Here is a 17,888-nt window from a genome sequence, read left to right on the forward strand (position 1 = left end):
ATCCCAGCACTTTGGGAGGTCGAGGCAGGCGGGTCACGAGGTCAGGAGATCGAGACCATCCTGGCTAACATGGTGAAACCCCGTCTCTACTAAAAATACAAAAAATGAGCCGGGCATGGTGGCGGGCGCCTGTAGTCCCAGATACTCAGGAGGCTGAGGCAGGAGAATGGCGTGAACCTGGTAGGCGGAGCTTGCAGTGAGCCGAGATCGCGCCACTGCACTCCAGCCTGAGCGACAGAGCGAGACTCCATCTCAAAAAAAAAAAAAAAAAAAATTACCCAGGTGTGGTGGCGCGTGCCTGTAGTCCCAGCTAGTTGAGAGGCTGAGGCGAAGAATCACTTGAACCCAGGAGGCGGGGAGGTTGCAGTGAGCCAAGATCAGGCCATTGCACTCCTGCCTGGGCAACAAAAGCAAAACTCTGTCTCAAAATACATAAATAAATAAACAAAAAATAAAGAAATCACTGTTCTACTCTCTTACTTCTATGAGATCAACTTTTTCTTTTTTTTGCTTGCTTGCTTTTTTGAGACAGTTTTGCTCTTGTCATCCAGATTGGAGTGCAGTGGGATGATCTCAGCTCACTGCAACCTCCGCCTCCCGGGCTCAAGTGATTCTCCTGTTTCAGCCTCCTGAGTAGCTGGGATTATAAGTGCCCGCCACCGTGCCTGGCTAATTTTTGTAGCTTTAGTAGAGACGGGGTTTCACCACGTTGGCCAGGCTTGTCTTGAACTCCTGACCTCAAGTGATCCACCTGCCTCACCCTCCCAAAGTGCTGGGATTACAGGTGTGAGCCACCGCACCCAGCCAAGATAAACTTTTTTAGCTTGCACACATGAGTGATAAAGTGGTACTTATCTGGCCAGGCCCAGTGGCTCACGCCTGTAATCCCAGCACTTTGGGAGGCCAAGGCGGGTGGATCAAGAGGTCAGGAGTTCGAGACCAGCCTGATCAACATAGTGAAAGCCCCATCTCTAATAAAAATACAAAAAAAATTAGCCGGGCATGGTGGCGGCTGCCTATAGTCCCAGCTACTCGAGAAGCTGAGGCAGGAGAATGGCGTGAACCCGGGAGGCGGAGGTTGCAGTGAGCCACGTCGCGCCACTTCACTGCAGCCTGAGTGACAGAGCAAGACTCTGTCTCAAAAATAAATAAATAAAATAAAAATAAAAAAAATAAAGTGGTACTTATCTTTCTGTGCCTGGCTTTTTCACATCACATAATGTCCTGCAAGCTCATCTATGTTGCAGCAAATGACAGAAATCTGGGGGTTTTAATGGCTAAATAGCATTCCAAAAAATTGTGCTCCCTTGTGTATATAGCATTTTATCAGTTCATCTGTTTTTTTTTTTTTTTTTTTGAGGCAGAGTCTCACTCGATCTTGGCTCACTGCAACCACCACCTTCCAGGTTCAAGCAATTTTCCCGCCTCTGCCTCCCAAGTAGCTGGGATTATAGGTGCTTGCCACCACGCCCGGCTAATTTTTGTATTTTTAGTAGAGATGGGGTTTCTCCATGTTGGCCAGGCTGGTCCCAAACTCCTGACCTCAGGTGATTCGCCCACCTCGGCCTCCCAAAGTGCTAGGATTACAGGCATGAGCCACCAGGCCCGGCCTGTCATTATTTTTATTCTTTTCTTTCTTTCGTTTTGTTTTGAGTTTTTGAGACGGAGTCTCGCTCTGTGGCCCAGGCTGGAGTGCAGTGGCTTGATCTGGGCTCACCGAAAGCTCCGCCTCCCAGGTTCACGCCATTCTCCTGCCTCAGCCTCCTGAGTAGCTGGGACTACAGGCATCCGCCACCAGGCCCGGCTAATTTTTTGTATTTTCAGTAGAGACGGGGTTTCACCGTGTTAGCCAGGATGGTCTCAATCTCCTGACCTCATGACCCGCCCCACCTCGGCCTCCCAAAGTGCTGGGATTACAGGCGAGAGCCACACTGTGCCCGGCCTCTTTTTTTTTTGACGGAGTTTTGCTCGTTGCCCAAGCTGGAGTGCAATGGCACTATTTCGGCTCACTGCAACCCTTGCCTCCCGGGTTCAAGCGATTCTCCTGCCTCAGCCTCCCGAGTAGCTGGGATTACAAGTGTGTGCCACCATGCCCAGCTAATTTTTGTATTTGTAGTAGAGACGGGGTTTCGCTTTGCTGGCCAGGCTGTCTTGAACTCCCGGCCTCAGGTGATCCGCCCACCTCGGCCTCCCAAACTGCTGGGATTACAGGCATGAGCCAAGGCACCCAGGCCTAATGGTCATTATTGTCATTCATTGATTCAGCAAATAGTAGAGTGCTGGGTGCTCAGCCTCTTGCTTTGCAGTAGCTTGGGTGTCAGAGGTGTGTGAGGCAGGCATTCTCAGGTTCTCTCCTGCCCAATAAAACCTTTTGTCTTTGGGGATACTGGTGACATCATGAATCCCAATCCTGTGCAATGTGCTATGACAAAGGAAAGGACAGGGGTTGAGGCAAGGGGCAGGGACAGCCTATGACACTGAAAAAGAGGCCAGAAACGCATTCCTACCCGCTCTCTCAAAATCCATGTTCAGTGGCAGGATCATCCAAGACCCTGATGGGGCGGGGGGCCTTTTTTCGTCTAGGATGGTATCTGAATGGCTTTAAGGGTAGCTTTCTTCTGATCACATGAGATTTCTGCTTGTGTCATGAAGAATGGGTCAGAGGATCAGGAGGCTGTGGCTGCAGCTGGGGCGGGTTGCGGGGACCCAGGACGAACAGTAGAGCTCGGTTAACGCTGCAAGGGGAGCCTGGCAGGCCGTACATCCCAATGCCAAGCCCGCCGCCTCTCGGCCTGACACCACCGGTGGAACCAAAAAGGGGAAATCATGTCCTTTGTGCCTCTGTGTCTGTGGTAAGCGGGGCCCTCCAGGGGGCGGAGCCGCCGGCAGGGTCCCCCCGTGGCCCGGGTCTCAGGGCAGAGCTCTGCCTGGGGCTCGCAGATGTCTGCAAGGCCGCGGAGGGAGGAGGGTCCAGACGCAAGCCCTTATTTCTGATCTGGACGTCTGCGAGGGTCTGACCCGGCTAGTCGTCCCCGAGGTGCGTGAGTGCGAGGGTGTGGGACACGGCCGGATCGTCCTAGGGCCCCGTGGATTAGCAAGGCACCGGGACCACTGGAGAGGGCTTAACGGGATAGCAGGGAGAGGGCGGGCTCGGGAAGAGCACCCTTTAGGCGAGGGGTTCTCGGGGAACCGACCGGCGTGTCCCAGCCCCAGGCCCGGTCCAAGATTCGCCGGCTCCGCCGCTGCCTCCGCACCCAGGCGGACCCCACCGCACCGCGCCCGGCTTTCCAGCGCTGCCCGAACCCCCGCCCAGCCCACGAGGCAGGGATTCTGTGGTCCTCACTGAGTCATCTGGACCAGAACTAGACTAGCCCAAGGTCACCGGGCGTTCCTGGCGAGGCCAGGGCCGCGCCGCGCCGCCCCTGGTGCATCCCGGGAGCCGCGCCGGTCTGCGGCACCTGGGCGGCGGACAGGGGCGCGGGCGAGGCGGGCGGGGCGGGCGGGCAGCGGACACCGGTCAGAGAGGCGGAACTCCCTGCCGCCAGCCGTGTAGTTTGCCTCGCGGGCGGCGGCGCGGCCTCCTGCCGGCCTAGCCCTACGCCCGACCACAACGCCCAGAAGGCCGCGCGGCGCGGGCGGGACCTGCGGCGACGAGCGAGGCGGTGACATCACCGCCGCATCCAGCTCCCTGGCCCCAGCTCCTCCCAGCGCCCGGGCCCTCGGCCTCGCAAGGCCTGACGGGAATCGTGGTCCACCCCCGGGTACCCCCAGCTGCTGCACGGGCAGCACGGACTTCAGTTCCCGGCGTGTCCTGCGCGCCGAGGCACGTTAACGGCAGGAGGGGGTGGGCAAGCAAAGGGAAAAGCAGAGCCGGGGGGCGGAGTAAGGCGGGGTGGGGGTGGGGGGTGGGGGCCCACACCCCTCCCCCTCCCCGCTGCTCCTTCCCCCTCCCCCGACGTAAACTGGGATCCCTTTCCCCTTGTGTCCGCCATATTGGACTCTAACTCTGGTCAGCCGCGGCGCCGGGACTGTGGACTCGCGGTTCCTCCCGCCCAGCGGCCTGCCCCGCAGCTCCCGCCCGCCCCAGCCCTCCCCGACCCGGACGCGACCCCGCGCAGCGCCCCCCGGCTGGCCGGAGCGCCCGCCGCCGCGGCCGCCTCAGCCTCCCCGCCTTCCCCGCCCTCCGCCGCCGCCCGCGGCCCCCGCGCCCGCTCTGCGCCCCTCTCCCCGCCCGCCATGAGCCCAGCCGACGCCAAGCGCGGGGCCAAGCGCCGGAAGAACAAGCGGGGCGGCGGCGGCGGCTCGGGCGGGGGTAACGGCGGCGCGAGCAGCGGCAAGGCCGGCCCGGCGGCGGCGCTGCGCGGTTCCCAGGCCGCGGGCCTGGCGGCCCCGGGCAGCGCGGCAGGCCTGGTGGGCGGCGCGGCGGCGGCCAACGGGCCTCTCGGCGCGGGCGCGAGCGCGGGCGGCGCCGCCCCCGGAGGCTACTTCGAGGTAAGCGGCGGCAGCGGGCAGGGGTCGATGGCGGTACGCGGTTGCCGTTCCCTCGCGCCTTGGCGGAGCTCGGCCTCCCGCTGTCGGCCCCGGGCCTGGGAGCGGGATGCTGCGGGCGGGCGGATAACGGGTCCTGCGGCGCTGCGCTTGCCGAGGTCCCGGGGCAGGGCGGCAGGTGGGCCGTGCTCGGCGTGACGCGGCCTCTGTCAGCCTCTTGAGAGGAGAACCTGAGCAGAGGCGGCGGGAGGGCTACACCGGGGCCGCCGCTCACGGCGACGGGCTGGTCCGCAGGCTGGAGCAGCCCCTCAACGGGCGGGGACGTCTCCGGGGTGCAGCTCCGCGCACGGCGCTTCGCCTTCCGCTGGACCCGGCGGGTGATACCCGCGAGGCCCGGGCTTCTGTCGTGGCGCCTCGCCCGCTGCGGCGGTTCCAGAGCGACTGCGATTCCGGGAGTGAGCAAAGCTGCCCTTTCGCTCCCAGGGCTTTGAAATGTTTCTCTGGCCACCTTCGTTATTCCGTGCGCGTGATGATTGAGAAGGGCCTCCCGGAAGTTTTCCTTTGGTCCTCCTATGTGGTTATTTGAAATCTACCTGACAGCCACCTGGAGCTGGCAGCCCTGGCCCCTCCTCCCCCGCTTTGTTAAGTTTTCAGGGGTATTTAGTGGTTTGGTTACTCAGGTATGTATTTAGGGTTCGAACTTAAGGAATTTGAAAGGTGATTTTTTTCAGTTTTGTTTATGAAGACAGCTAGCACACATTGCACCTACCAATTATGGATTCCTGCCACTTTTATTCAACCGTTGGTCACAACATTTCAGAGGGTACACTATTTATAAGTGGGTATGCAATTGGCGCAGTCATTTCCAGTTATCCCATTGTCTGCTGAAAGAGAATAGATTTTTTTTGAAAAGTTGCGTTCTTATAATGTTATTTAAACTCTTAAATTATGTAGTTTTAAAGATATTGCAATTAAAAAATGAAAGAAGCGTTGGGAGTATTTTTGTGCTAAATCATGACACAAATTGTTCTTTTTTTTTTTTTCTTTTGAGAACGGAGTCTCGCTCTGTCGCCCAGGCTGGAGTGCAATAATGGCGCGATCTTGGCTCACTGTAACCTCCGCCTCCCGGGTTCAAGCGATTCTCCTGCCTCAGCCTCTCGAGTAGCTGGGACTACAGGCATGCGCCACCATGCCCGGCTAATTTTTGTAGAGACAGGGTTTCACCATGTTGGCCAGGCTGGTCTCGAACTCGTGATCTCAGGTGATCCGCCCACCTTGGCGTCCCAAAGTGCTGGGATTACAGGTGTGAGCCACCGCGCCCGGCCGTTTTTATTATTATTATATTGTTACATTAGGGTCTTGGGCTGTAGTCCTGGACTTCAGTCTCCCGAGATTGCCCTCATCCAGTATCCTGGAGATCAAAACAGGCCGCAGTTCTTGGGATCAAGGATGAGTCTTGAGCGTTTGGATCTTTGGGGTTTTTAAGGGCAGTGTTTGCTGCTGTCGGGTAGGGGAGGGCGGGGGGGGTTTGCCTGTGCATATCCTTACACAAAATATTGATAATTTTTGGTGTAGCTGGATGTGGAATATATTCATTTCTATTGATTCAATAAAAACCAGTTGGTGGCACAATAAAATTCTTAGTTTTAGCCTTTCATACCATTTCAAGTTTTAATAATTTACATTTGCTTTGCAATACTTAGGTAAAATATAACTTTATTATTTTTATTTATTTTTTTTTGAGACAGAGTCTCACTCTGTCGCCCAGGCTGGAGTGCAGTGGTGCGATCTTGGCGCACCGTAACCTCTGTCTCCCGGGTTCAAGCGATTCTCCTGCCTAACCCTCTCAAGTAGCTGGGACTACAGGTACCTGCCACCATGCCTGGCTAATTTTTTTTGTATTTTTAGTAGAGACAGGGATTCACTATGTTGGGCAGGCTGGTCTTGAAGTCCTGACCTCCTGATCCACCTGCTTTGGCCTCTCAAAGTCCTGGAATTACAGGCGTGAGCCACCGTGCCCAGCCCTGCCTTTATTATTTTTGTCGCGTTATTCAAAATCAGATAACTGTATGCCTATTATTATTAAGATAGGGTCTTGCTATGTTGCCTAGGCTGGCCTTGAGCTTGTGGGCTCAAGGGATCCCTCTCATCTTAGTTTTACTAATTACTAAGGGCACAGACCCTTGCCACTGTGCCCACCTGAGTATTATTTTTGACAGGACTGTGATATTCTGTTAAACTAGTATGCATCAGGGTTTTGTTGTTTTAAAAGAGACACGGTCTCTCTCTGTTGCATAGGCTAGAGTACAGTTGCCTGGTCATAGCTCACTGTAACCTCCAATTTCTGGGCTAAGCAGTCCTTCCATGTAGCTAGGCCTCTAGGTATGTGCCACCATGCCTGGCTAATTTGTTCTTTTAATATAGATACAGGGTCTCACTATGTTACCCAGGCTTGTCTTGAACTCTTGACCTCAAGTGATCCTCCCATCTCTGCCTCCCAAAGTGCTGGGATTACAGGCCTGAGCCACTGCACCTGGCCTATCAAGGTTTTTGACCATGACCCACTCTTATGACCCACTCCAAGAAATAAAATCCGTTAAGATCTAGGAAACATACACATAAACACAAAAATTTCACAAAACATTTTAGGGCCGGGCACCGTGGCTCATGCCTGTAATTCCAGCACTTCGGGAGGCCGAGGTGGGTGGATCACCTGAGGTCAGGAGTTCGAAACCAGCCTGGTTGACAGATGATGAAACCCCAGAGATGGTGAAACCCCGTCTCTACTAAAAATACAAAAATTAGCCAGGTGTGGTGGTATGCACTTGTAATCCCAGCTACTCGGGAGACTGAGGCAGGAGAATTGCTTGAACCTGGGAGATGTAGGTTGCAGTGAGCTGAGATCTAACCATTGCACTACTGCCTGGGCAACAAGAGTGAAACTCTGTCTCAAAAAAAAAAAAAAAATCCCATCCTTGTTGACACGGTGAGACCTCATCTCTGCTAAAAATACAAAAAATGGCCGGGCGCAGTGGCTCACGCCTGTAATCCCAGCACTGTGGGAGGCCGAGGCAGGCGGATCACGAGGTCAGGAGATCGAGACCATCCTGGCTAACACAGTGAAACCCGTCTCTAGTAAAAATACAAAAAATTAGCCGGGCGTGGTGGCGGGCACCTGTAGTCCCAGCTACTCCGGAGGCTGAGGCAGGAGAATAGTGTGAACCTGGGAGGCGGAGCTTGCAGTGAGCCGAGATGGCGCCACTGCACTCCAGCCTGGGCGACAGAGCGAGACTCCGTCTCAAAACAAACAAACAAACAAACCCCAAAAAATTAGCCAGGCGTGGTGGCGGGCGCCCTGTAGTCCCAGCTACTCCGGAGGCTGAGGCAGGAGAATGGCATGAACCCAGGAGGCTGAGCTTGCAGTGAGCCGAGATGGCGCCACTGCACTCCAGCCTGGGTGACAGAGTGAGACTCCGTCTCAAAAAAACAAACGAACAAAAACGAAAAAACAGGCCGAGTGCGGTGGCTCACACCTGTAATCCCAGCACTTTGGGAGGCTGAGGCAGGTGGATCACCTGAGGTTAGGAGTTCCAGACCAGCCTGGCCAATGTGATGAAACCCCATCTCTACTAAAAATACAAAGAATAGCCGGGAATAGTGGTGGATGCCTGTAATCCCAGCTACTCCGGACGCTGAGGCTGGAGAATCACTTGAACCTGGGAGACGGAGGTTGCAGTGAGCCCAGATCACATCACTACACTCTAGCCTGGGCGACAGTGCAAGACTGTGTCTCAAAATCCGTCTCAAAAAAAAAAAAAAAAGGGCAGGCGCAGTGGCTGACACCTATAATCCTAGCACTTTGGGAAGCCGAGGCAGGAGGATCAGCTGAGGTCAGGAGTTTGAGACCAGCCTGAGAAACATGGAGAAACCCTGTCTCTACTAAAAATACAAAATTAACTGGGTGTGGTGGCGCATGCCTGTAATCCTAGCTACTCAGGAGGCTGAGGCAGGAGAATCGCTTGAACCTGGGAGGTGGAGATTGTCATGCCAGCTACTCTGGAGGCTGAGGCAGGAGAATTGCTTGAACCTGGGAGGTGGAGATTGTCATGAGCTGAGATTGTGCCATTGCACTCCAGCCTGGGCAACAAAAGCGAAACTCTGTCTCAAAAAATAACAAAAAACAAACAAAATATTTTAATACTTTTCTGATCTTTTCTGTTCCATGTAATCTCATTAATAAAATCTGGGTTATAGTCCACAGAATTAGTTCATTGTGTACTTTTTTTTTTTTTTTTTTGAGACAGAGTCTCGCTCTGTCACCAGGCTGGAGAGCAGTGGCGTGATCTTGACTCACTGCAACCTCCACCTCCTGGGTTCAAGCGATTCTCCTGCCTCAGCCTCCTGAGTAGCTGGGACTACAGGCGCGTGCCACCACGCCCAGCTAATTTTTGTATTTTTAGTAGAGACAGGGTTTCACCATGTTGGCTAGGATGGTTTCTCTTTCTTGACCTTGTAATCCACCCACCTTGGCCTCCCAAAGTGCTGGGATTACGGGTGTGACCCACTGCAGCCTCTCTATTGTGTACTATTGAGTTGTGTGCTGCACCTTGACAGTTGCTTTTACTGTATTTTAAGCTTTTAAAATATGCCACCATCTTTTATGGTATTTTATTTTATTTTTGAGACAGAGTCTTGCTCTGTCGCCCAGGCTGGAGTGCAGTGGCGCCATCTCGGCTCACTGCAACTTCTGCCTCCTGAGTTCAAGTGATTCCTCCTGAGTTCAAGTGATTCTCCTGCCTCAGCCTCCCGAGTAGCTGAGACTACAGGAGTGCACCACCACACCTGGCAAATTTTTTTTTTTTTTTCAAGACAGAGTCTCACTGCGTCACCCCAGCTGGCGTACAGTGGGGTGATCTTAGCTCACTGCAACCTCCGCCTCCTGGGTTCAAGTGATTCTTTTGCCTCAGCCTCCTGAGTAGCTGGGATTACAGGCATGTGCCACCACACTTGGGTAATTTTTGTATTTTTAGTAGAGACGGGGCTTCACCATGTTGGTCTAGAACTCCTGACCTTGTGATCCACATGCCTTGGCCTCCCAAAGTGCTGGGATTACAGGCGTGAGCAACCACGCCCGGCCATTTTTTGTATTTTTAGTAGAGACGGGGTTTCACCTTGTTGGCCAAGCTGGTCTCGAACTCCTGACCTCAAGTGATCTATCTACCTGCCTGGGCCTCCAAAAGTGCTGGAATTACAGGCGTGAGCCACTGCACCTGGCCGATATTTTAAGCTTTTAAAGCTGTCTTTAGTTTTTAAGTTTCTTTGTAAGTATTTTAATAATTGTTCATTAAAGAAACTCTTTATGGTAACTGGGGTAAAATATTCTTGACACAGATCACAGAAAGTCTTAATGTAATTCTGAAGCCTCTGAATTGTTTCCCCACAGATGGTGAGCTTTTTGGAGTACCTTGTATGGTGCAAAATGGCACCCAAAACAGTATCAACCAGAAACAGTGAGTGGTTTCTGGCCCTATGGTTCCCAGGGAGGCTTTCTGAGTCCTGGCAAGCAGCCTCTACACTCCGTAGTCACCAGGCCAGGAGGTGGATAAGAGAGAAGGCCGAGTGGAAGGACTGTCTTGATTTTCAGGAGTGGTCACAGTCCCACTGTCCTGTGTGCGGGACACAGCACTATGTGTTATACCCAGGACCACCTTCATCGAGGTGGCTGCTGAGCCAAAGAGGGTGTTTCTGCATGTGGGTAGCTTCAACAAAGGAGGAGGACCATGGGAGAAGTAGGAAAACATAACTTAGCTTATAGGGTCTTTGACTCAAAACAGAATTCTTATACACAAAGCTTGGGGAACCACAAATTTGTTAGGCTCTGTTCCATGGGCAAGGTATCAACCTTGCGCTACCTCAGTTTTCTTTTCTTTTTTTTTTTTAAATGGAGTCTCGCTCTGTCACCCAGGCTGGAGTGCCCTGGCGCAATCTTGGCTCACTGCAACCTCCGCCTCCCGGGTTCAAGTGATTCTCCTGCCTCAGCCTCCCAGGTCGCTGGGGCTACTGGTGTGTGCCACTATGCCCAGCTTATTTTTTGTATTTTTAGTAGAGACAGGGTTTCATCATGTTAGCCAGGATGGTCTCGATCTCCTGACCTCGTGATGTACCCGCCTCGGCCTCTCAAAGTGCTAGGATTACGGTGTGAGCCACTGCATTTGGCCACTACCTTGGGTTTCTTAATGATAGGGCACCACAGGCTTGGTAGCTCATACCTATAATCCCAGCATTTAGGGAGGCCAGGGTGGGAGGATCACTTGAGTCCAGGAGTTTGAGATCAGCCTGGGTGACGTGGAGAGACCCTCCCCGCCACTGCTCTACAAAAAATTAAAATAAAAATTAGCCACCATAGGGACCGGGCATAGTGGCTCACGCCTGTAATCTTAGCACTTTGGGAGGCTGAGGTGGGCAGATCACTTGATGTCAGGAGTTTGAGACCAGCCTGGCCAACATGGAGAAACCCCATCTCTACTAAAAAATGCAAAAATTAGCCAGGCATGGTGACGAGCGCCTGTAATCTCAGCTACTCAGGAGGCTGAGACATGAGAATCGCCTGAACCCGGGGTGGGGGGTGCAGGGCTGAGGTTGCAGTGAGCAGAGATCACACCATTGCACTTCAGCCTGCACAAAAGAATGAGACATTGTCTCAAAAAAAAAAAAAAAAAAAAAAAAAACCAAAAAATTAGCCACCATACAGCGTATCCTCTGCTTTGATGGTATGATCGTTGTATAAACATGCTGGTATGATTATTATGGATCTTTGGGGTACATGAGGGTGCACTTAGAAGCCTTCCCTGTATTGTAGAAATTGCGACCACGGTGAAATTAGGTTATCATTAACTCTAGTTCATATTTGCCTAGTGACCTGAGGAAATAGGTTGAAGAAAAATGTAGAACTTCCTGTGTCTTAACTAAAATTAACAATTTTAACTTTTAAAAGTTTAAATGGTTACCATACACGCTTTAGAAATGGTGTACCTGCAGAGAGCATGTCTGTGATTCAGTATTTTTTCTATGTGTACACCTATGTAATAAATATATCAAGATAAAGAATATAGGTTGGCACAGTGGCCCATAGCCATGATCCCAGCACTTTGGAAGGCCGAGGTGGGAGAATCACTTGAGGCCAGGAGTTCAGGACCAGCTTGAGCTATGTAGTGAGACTCTGTCTCAACAAAAAACTTAATTCTAATTAGCCTGGCCAGGCGCTGTGGCTCACACCTGTAATCCCAGCACTTTGGGAGGCCGAGGTGGAAGGATCACGAGGTCAGGAGTTTGAGCCCAGCCTGGCCAACATGGTAAAACCCCATTCTCTACTAAAAATACAAAAAAATTAGCTGGGTGTGGTGGTGGGCGCCTGTAATCCTAGCTACTCGGGAGGCTGAGGCAGGAGAATTGCTTGAACCCAGGAGGCAGAGGTTGCAGTGAGCCCAGATCGGGCCACTGCACTCCAGACTGGGTGACAGAGCAAGACTCTGTCTCTGAAAGAAAAAAAGAATTAGCCTGGTGTGGTGGTGTATACCTGTAATCCCAGTTATGTAGGAGGCTCAGGCTAGAGAATTGCTTGAGCTCAGGAGTCTGAGGGTTACAGTGAGCTGTGGTTGTACCACAACAGCACTTCAACCTGGGTGACAGGGAGACCTCATCTTAAAAAAAAACAAAAAAGACTATAGATAGAACAATTTTCCGGATGTTCCCTCATCTCCTTCATGGTCGTTTCTACTACTGATCTCATCTGTATCCTTTAAAAGGATTTTGACTTTGAATTTCTTTCTTTCTTTTTTTTTTTGAGACGGAGTCTCCCTCTGTCACCCAGGCTGGAGTGCAGTGGCGTGATCTCGGCTCACTGCAACCTCTGCCTCCTGGGTTCAAGTGATTCTCCTGCCTCAGCCTCCCGAGTAGCTGGGATTACAGGCATGCGCCGCCATGCCCAGCTAATTTTCGTATTTTTAGTAGAGATGGGGTTTCACCATGTTGGCCAGGCTGGCCTTGAACTCCTGACCTCAGGTGATCTGCCAGCCTCAGCCTCCCAAAGTGCTGGGATTTCAGGCGTGAGCCACCACGCCAGGCCCTCTCTTTGAATTTCATAGAACAAGAATTTTTGTGCTAGGGCTCTTTGGCTCAACATTATATTTGAGATGCATCTGTGTTGTTGTCCTAGCAGTGGATCATTTTTTTTTTCATGGCATGTAAACTTACTGTTGTGTTAATATTCCACAATTCATCTCACCATTCTAATGGACATTTGGATTGTTTTATGGCTGCTATGAGTCAACTGATGTGTCTATTCCTTTCTGTACATGTGTTTTGGTGGACATGAGCACTCAGTTGGTCATATGGCTGGGGGTAGAATTGCTGGGTGTACTTCGATTTGACTTTAGTGGGTACTGCCTGATAGTTTTCCTAAATGGTACTGTTATATGCTAATTTTTAGAAATTAACATGTAGCAAAATTGATACTAATTAAAAAAATTTTTTGAAACAGACTCTGACTCTGTTGCCTTGGCTGGAATGCAGTGTTATGACAATGGCTCATTGTAGCCTCAGCCTGTCCTGCTCAAGCAGTGCTCCCACCTCAGCCTCCCAGGTAGCTGGGACTACAGGTGTGCACCACCATGCCTGGCTAATTAAAAAACAAAAATTTAAGGCCAGGTGCGGTGGCTCACGCCTGTTATCCCAGCACTTTGGGAGGCTGAGGCGGGCGGATTATGAGGTCAGGAGTTTGAGACCAGCCTGACCAACATGGTGAAATCGTGTCTCTACTAAAAATACAAAAATTAGCGGGGTGTGGTAGCAGGCGCCTGTAATCATAGCTACTCGGGAGGCTGAGGCAGGAGAATTGCTTGAACCCAGGAAGCAGAGGTTGCAGTGAGCCGAGATTGTGCCACTGCACTCCAGCCTGGGGGACAGAGCAAGACTCCGCCTCAAAAAAAAAAAATTTTTTTTTTTTTGTAAAGATGGGGTCCCACTGTGTTTCCCAAGCTGATCTCAAACTCCTGGGCTCAAGCAGTCCTCCTACCTTGGCCTCCCAAAGTTTTGGGATTACAGGTGTAGGCTACTGTCCCAGCCAAAATTGAATGTTTAAAATGTGCATTTTGCATTTGAATTTTAACAACTGTAGATTCATATATCTACTACCACAATCAGGATACAGAACAGTTTAATTGTTCACAAAAACTCCCTCATGTTATAGTTACACTCTCCCCAACTCCTAAAGTCTTGGCAGCCATTACTGTGTTGCTTGGTATGATTTTATCTTTTGGATAAGTCCTGTAAATGGACTCATACAGTCCATTTATGACTGTGTAGTCTTTTCAGGAAGGTTTATTTCACTCAGCATAATGACTTTGAGATTCATCCAAGTTGTTGCATGTATCAGTAGCTTGTTCTTTTTTACTGCTGTGTAGTATTCTGTTGTATAAATGTACCACAGTTTGTCCATTTTTCCATTGGTGGACATTGGGGTTGTTTTGAGGTTTTGGTGATTATAAATAGAGTTGCCATAAACATGTCTATACAGGATTTTTGTGTGAAAGTAAATTTCAATTTTCTAGGTAAATACCAAGGAGTAGGAGCTGGTCATATGGTAACATTATGTGAAACCGCTGAACTGTTATCCAGAGTGGATAATACCATTTTGCCTACTCACGCAATGTCTGAGAGTTCTGGTTGCTCTGCATCCTTGCTAGCACTTGAGATTTTCAGTGGTTTTTGTTTACACTATTATTATTAATATTTTTTTAGTAGAGATGGGGTTTTGCCATGTTGCCCAAGCTGGTCTCAAACTCCTGAGCTCAGGCAGTCTACTGGTCTGGCCTCCCGAAGTGCTAGGATTACAGGTATAAGCCCTGGCCTAAACTGTTTTTTAAAAAACCCTTTTTGTGGGCTGGGCGTGGTGGCTCACGCCTGTAATTCCAGCACGTTGGGAGGCCGAGGCAGGCGGATCACTGGAGGTCAGGAGTTTGAGACCAGCCTGGCCAAGGTGGTGAAACCCCGTCTCTACTAAAAATACAAAAAGTAGCTGGTTGCGGTGGCACACACCTGTAATTCCAGCTACTCGGGAGGTTGAGTTGAGGCAAGAGACTTGCTTGAACCTGGGAGGTGAAGGTTGCTATGAGCCAAGATCACACTACTGCACTCCAGCCTGGGCAACAAGAGCGAGATTCTTGTCTCAAAAAATAATAATAACAATAATAATAATAATTCTTTTTGTGGAAATGGGGTCTCACTATGTTGCCCAGGCTGGTGTCTATCTCCAGGGCTCCAGCGATCCTCCCACCTTGGCTTCCCAGTGTTAGGATTACAGGCGTGAGCCACCGCACCCAGCCTAAAACTAGACAGACAGTTTATAATTCCTGACCTTAGTATGTGTGTGTGTGTGTCTGTGTGTGTGTGTGTGTGTGTATGTATTTTTTTTTTTTGGAAGTGGAGTCTCACCCTTTCGCCCAGGCTGGAGTGCAGTGGCGCGATCTTGGCTCCCTGCAACGTCTGCCTCCTTGGTTCAAGCAATTCTCCTGCCTCAGCCTCCCCAGTAGCTAGGATTACAGATGTGCGTCACCACACCTGGCTAATTTTGTAGTTTCAGTAGAGATGGGATTTCACCATGTTGGCCAGGCTGGTCTCGAACTCTTGAACTTAAGTGATCTGCCCACCTTGGCCTCCCAAAGTGCTGGGGTTGCAGGCGTGAGCCACTGAGCCTGGCCTCTTAATATTTTAATAAATAGGTCTGTAGTGGTATCATAGTTTTAATTTGCATCTCCCTGGTGCCTAATAATATTAAACATGTTTCCTGTGTTTATTTGCCATTCCTGTATCCTCTTGGGAGCAGTGTTTTATCAAGACTTTGCCTATTTTTTTTTTTTTTTTTTGAGACAAAGTCTTGCTCTTGTCCCCAGGCTGGAGTGCAGTGGCACGATCTCGGCTCACTGCTACCTCTGCCTCCTGGGTTCAAGTGATTCTCCTGCCTCAGCCTCCCGAGTAGCTGGGATTACAGGCGCCTTCCACCATGCCTGACTAATTTGGTATTTTTAGTAGAGATGGGGCTTCACCATGTTGGCCAGACTGGTCTTGAACTCCTGACCTCAGATTATCCGCCCGCCTCGGCCTCCCAAAGTACTGGGATTTCAGGGGTGAGCCACCATGCCCGGCCTACTTTGCCTATTTTTTGAAAGTTCTCCATGATTCTGAATTCAAATCCTTTGTCATATATAATTTGCCAACATTTTCTTCAACTGTGTAGCTTATCTTTTTGTTGAGACAGTGTCTCATTCCGTCACCCAGGCTGGAGTGTGGTGGCATGATCTCGGCTCACTGCAGCCTCCGCCTCCCAGATTCAAGTGATTCTCATGCCTCAGCCTTCTGAGTAGCTGGAGTTATAGGGATGTGCCACCGCGCCTGGCTAATTTTTGTATTTTTAGTAGAGATGGGGTTTCACCATATTGGCCATGCTGGTCTTGAACTTCTGACCTCAAGTGATCTACCGGCCTCAGCCTCCCAAAGTGCTGGGATTATAGGTGTGAGCCACCGGACCCAACCTGTTAACTGGTTTTTTGCAGAGAAAAAAAAATGTGAATGAAGTTCCGTTTACCAATTTTTTCTTTTGTGGATCATGGTTTTGGTGTCATTTCTAACATCTCTGTTTTAGCTCAAGGTTATGAAGATTTTTTTCCTTCTATGTTTTCTTCTAAAAACTTTTTAGTTTACTTTTTTGTTTTTTTTGTTTGTTTGTTTTTGGTCAGACAGAGTCTCATTCTGTCGCCCAGGCTGGAGTGTAGTGGTGTGATCTCGACTCACTGCAACCTCCGCCTCCCGGTTTAGGTGATTCTTGTGCCTCAGCCTCCTGAGTAGCTGGAATTAACAGGCGTGTGCCATCATGCCTGGCTAATTTTTGTATATTTAGTAGAGATGGTGTTTCACCATGTTGGCCATGCTCGTCTTGAACTCCTGACCTTAAGTGATGGGCCCACCTCAGCCTCCCAAAGTGCTGGGATACAGGTGTGAGCCACTGCACCCAGGCTGTAAACCGGTTTTTTGCAGAGGAAAAAATATTAATGTGAATGAAGTTCAGTTTATCAATTTTTTTCTGTGTGGATCATGGTTTTGGTGTCATTTCTAAGATCTCCATTTTAGCTCCAGGTTATGACGATTTTTTTCCCTCTATGTTTTCTTTTTTTCTTTTTTTTTTTTTTTTTTTGAGACGGAGTCTCGCTCTGTCGCCCAGGCTGGAGTGCAGTGGCGGGATCTCGGCTCACTGCAAGCTCCGCCTCCCGGGTTCACGCCATTCTCCTGCCTCAGCCTCCCAAGTAGCTGGGACTACAGGCGCCCGCCACTACGCTCGGCTAATTTTTTGTATTTTTAGTAGAGACGGGGTTTCACCGTTTTAGCCAGGATGGTCTCGATCTCCTGACCTCGTGATCCGCCCGCCTCAGCCTCCCAAAGTGCTGGGATTACAGGCGTGAGCCACCGCGCCCGGCCCCCTCTGTTTTCTTCTAAAAATTTTATAGTTTTACTTTTTTGTTTTCTTTGAGATGGAGTCTCACTCTGTCTCCCAGGCTGGGGTGCAGTGACACCATCTCGGCTCACTGCAACCTCTGCCTCCTGAGTTCAAGTGATTTTTCTGCCTCACCCTCCCAAGTAGCTGGGACTACAGGCATGCACCACTGCACCTGGCTAATTTTTTGTATTTTTAGTAAAGATGGGATTTCACCATATTGGCCAGGCTGATCTCGAACTCCTGACCTCGTGATCTGCCCTCCTTGGCTTCCCAAAGTGCGGGGATTACAGGCATGAGCCACCGCACCTGGCTTTTTTTTTTTTTTTTAATTTTAATTTTTGAGACAGAGTGTCGCTCTGTGGCCCAAGCTGAAGTTTAGTGCCATGATTTCTGCTCACTGCAACCTCTGCCACCTGAGTTCATGTGATTCTTGTGCCTCAGCCTCACAGGTTGCTGAGACTGTGGTGGTGCCAGGTGTGCACCACCACTCCTGGCTAATTTTTGTACTTTTAGTAGAGACGGGGTTTCGTCACGTTGGCCAGGCTGATCTCGAACTCCTGGCCTCTAGTCATCTACCTGCCTTGGCCTCTCAAAGTGCTGGTATTACAGGCGTGAGCCACCACACCCAGCCTAGACTGTTTAAGTCGTAGGTGACATTATTGATTTTGGATATTGAACCAGCTTTACATTCCTAGAATGAACCCCTCTTGGTCGTTTGTTTGTTTGTTTGTTTATTTTTGAGGCAGAGTTTCGCTCTTGGTGCCCAGGCTGCAGTGTAATGGCACGATCTTGGCTCACTGCAACCTCTGCCTCCCGGGTTCAAGCGATTCTCCTGCCCCAGCCTCCCGAGTAG

At 50.7% G+C, this 17,888-nt stretch overlaps 1 protein-coding gene across 7 annotated transcripts in view, besides 8 other annotated features; it reads left to right on the top strand.

Moving 5' to 3' along the window:
• Positions 1-2,695: 2,695 nt before the first annotated feature.
• The window catches only part of FAM193A (family with sequence similarity 193 member A), a 197,199-nt gene continuing 182,006 nt past the window's right edge, over positions 2,696-17,888 (top strand). For 5 of the 7 annotated variants that reach the window (XM_011513590.3, XM_006713932.4, NM_001366318.2 and 2 more), the window contains exon 1: positions 3,968-4,491. In XM_011513590.3, the coding sequence (XP_011511892.2) occupies positions 4,237-4,491 (255 nt within the window). In that variant the 5' untranslated portion in view covers positions 3,968-4,236. Of the gene's footprint in view, positions 2,853-2,938; positions 3,038-3,967; positions 4,492-17,888 lie in introns of those variants that run through there. The other 2 variants (NM_001366316.2, XM_047416341.1) reach the window with 2 other exon arrangements.
• Positions 2,852-3,011: a silencer, noted in NCBI's record as "silent region_15171". NCBI's record gives its function as "represses an Ori minimal core promoter by ATAC-STARR-seq in GM12878 lymphoblastoid cells {active_cell/tissue: GM12878}" and the evidence as "EXISTENCE:reporter gene assay evidence [ECO:0000049][PMID:35858748]".
• Positions 3,232-3,881: a silencer, noted in NCBI's record as "silent region_15172". NCBI's record gives its function as "represses an Ori minimal core promoter by ATAC-STARR-seq in GM12878 lymphoblastoid cells {active_cell/tissue: GM12878}" and the evidence as "EXISTENCE:reporter gene assay evidence [ECO:0000049][PMID:35858748]".
• Positions 3,892-3,941: a silencer, noted in NCBI's record as "silent region_15173". NCBI's record gives its function as "represses an Ori minimal core promoter by ATAC-STARR-seq in GM12878 lymphoblastoid cells {active_cell/tissue: GM12878}" and the evidence as "EXISTENCE:reporter gene assay evidence [ECO:0000049][PMID:35858748]".
• Positions 4,202-4,301: a silencer, noted in NCBI's record as "silent region_15174". NCBI's record gives its function as "represses an Ori minimal core promoter by ATAC-STARR-seq in GM12878 lymphoblastoid cells {active_cell/tissue: GM12878}" and the evidence as "EXISTENCE:reporter gene assay evidence [ECO:0000049][PMID:35858748]".
• Positions 4,382-4,671: a silencer, noted in NCBI's record as "silent region_15175". NCBI's record gives its function as "represses an Ori minimal core promoter by ATAC-STARR-seq in GM12878 lymphoblastoid cells {active_cell/tissue: GM12878}" and the evidence as "EXISTENCE:reporter gene assay evidence [ECO:0000049][PMID:35858748]".
• Positions 4,722-4,881: a silencer, noted in NCBI's record as "silent region_15176". NCBI's record gives its function as "represses an Ori minimal core promoter by ATAC-STARR-seq in GM12878 lymphoblastoid cells {active_cell/tissue: GM12878}" and the evidence as "EXISTENCE:reporter gene assay evidence [ECO:0000049][PMID:35858748]".
• Positions 4,883-5,177: a silencer, noted in NCBI's record as "tiled region #6001; K562 Repressive DNase unmatched - State 2:TssF". NCBI's record gives its function as "represses a minimal TATA promoter and a strong SV40 promoter by Sharpr-MPRA in K562 cells {active_cell/tissue: K562}" and the evidence as "EXISTENCE:reporter gene assay evidence [ECO:0000049][PMID:27701403]".
• Positions 4,922-4,971: a silencer, noted in NCBI's record as "silent region_15177". NCBI's record gives its function as "represses an Ori minimal core promoter by ATAC-STARR-seq in GM12878 lymphoblastoid cells {active_cell/tissue: GM12878}" and the evidence as "EXISTENCE:reporter gene assay evidence [ECO:0000049][PMID:35858748]".

Source organism: Homo sapiens, chromosome 4 (genome assembly GCF_000001405.40).
Source record: "Homo sapiens chromosome 4, GRCh38.p14 Primary Assembly".
In the NCBI taxonomy this organism is placed as follows: domain Eukaryota; kingdom Metazoa; phylum Chordata; class Mammalia; order Primates; family Hominidae; genus Homo; species Homo sapiens.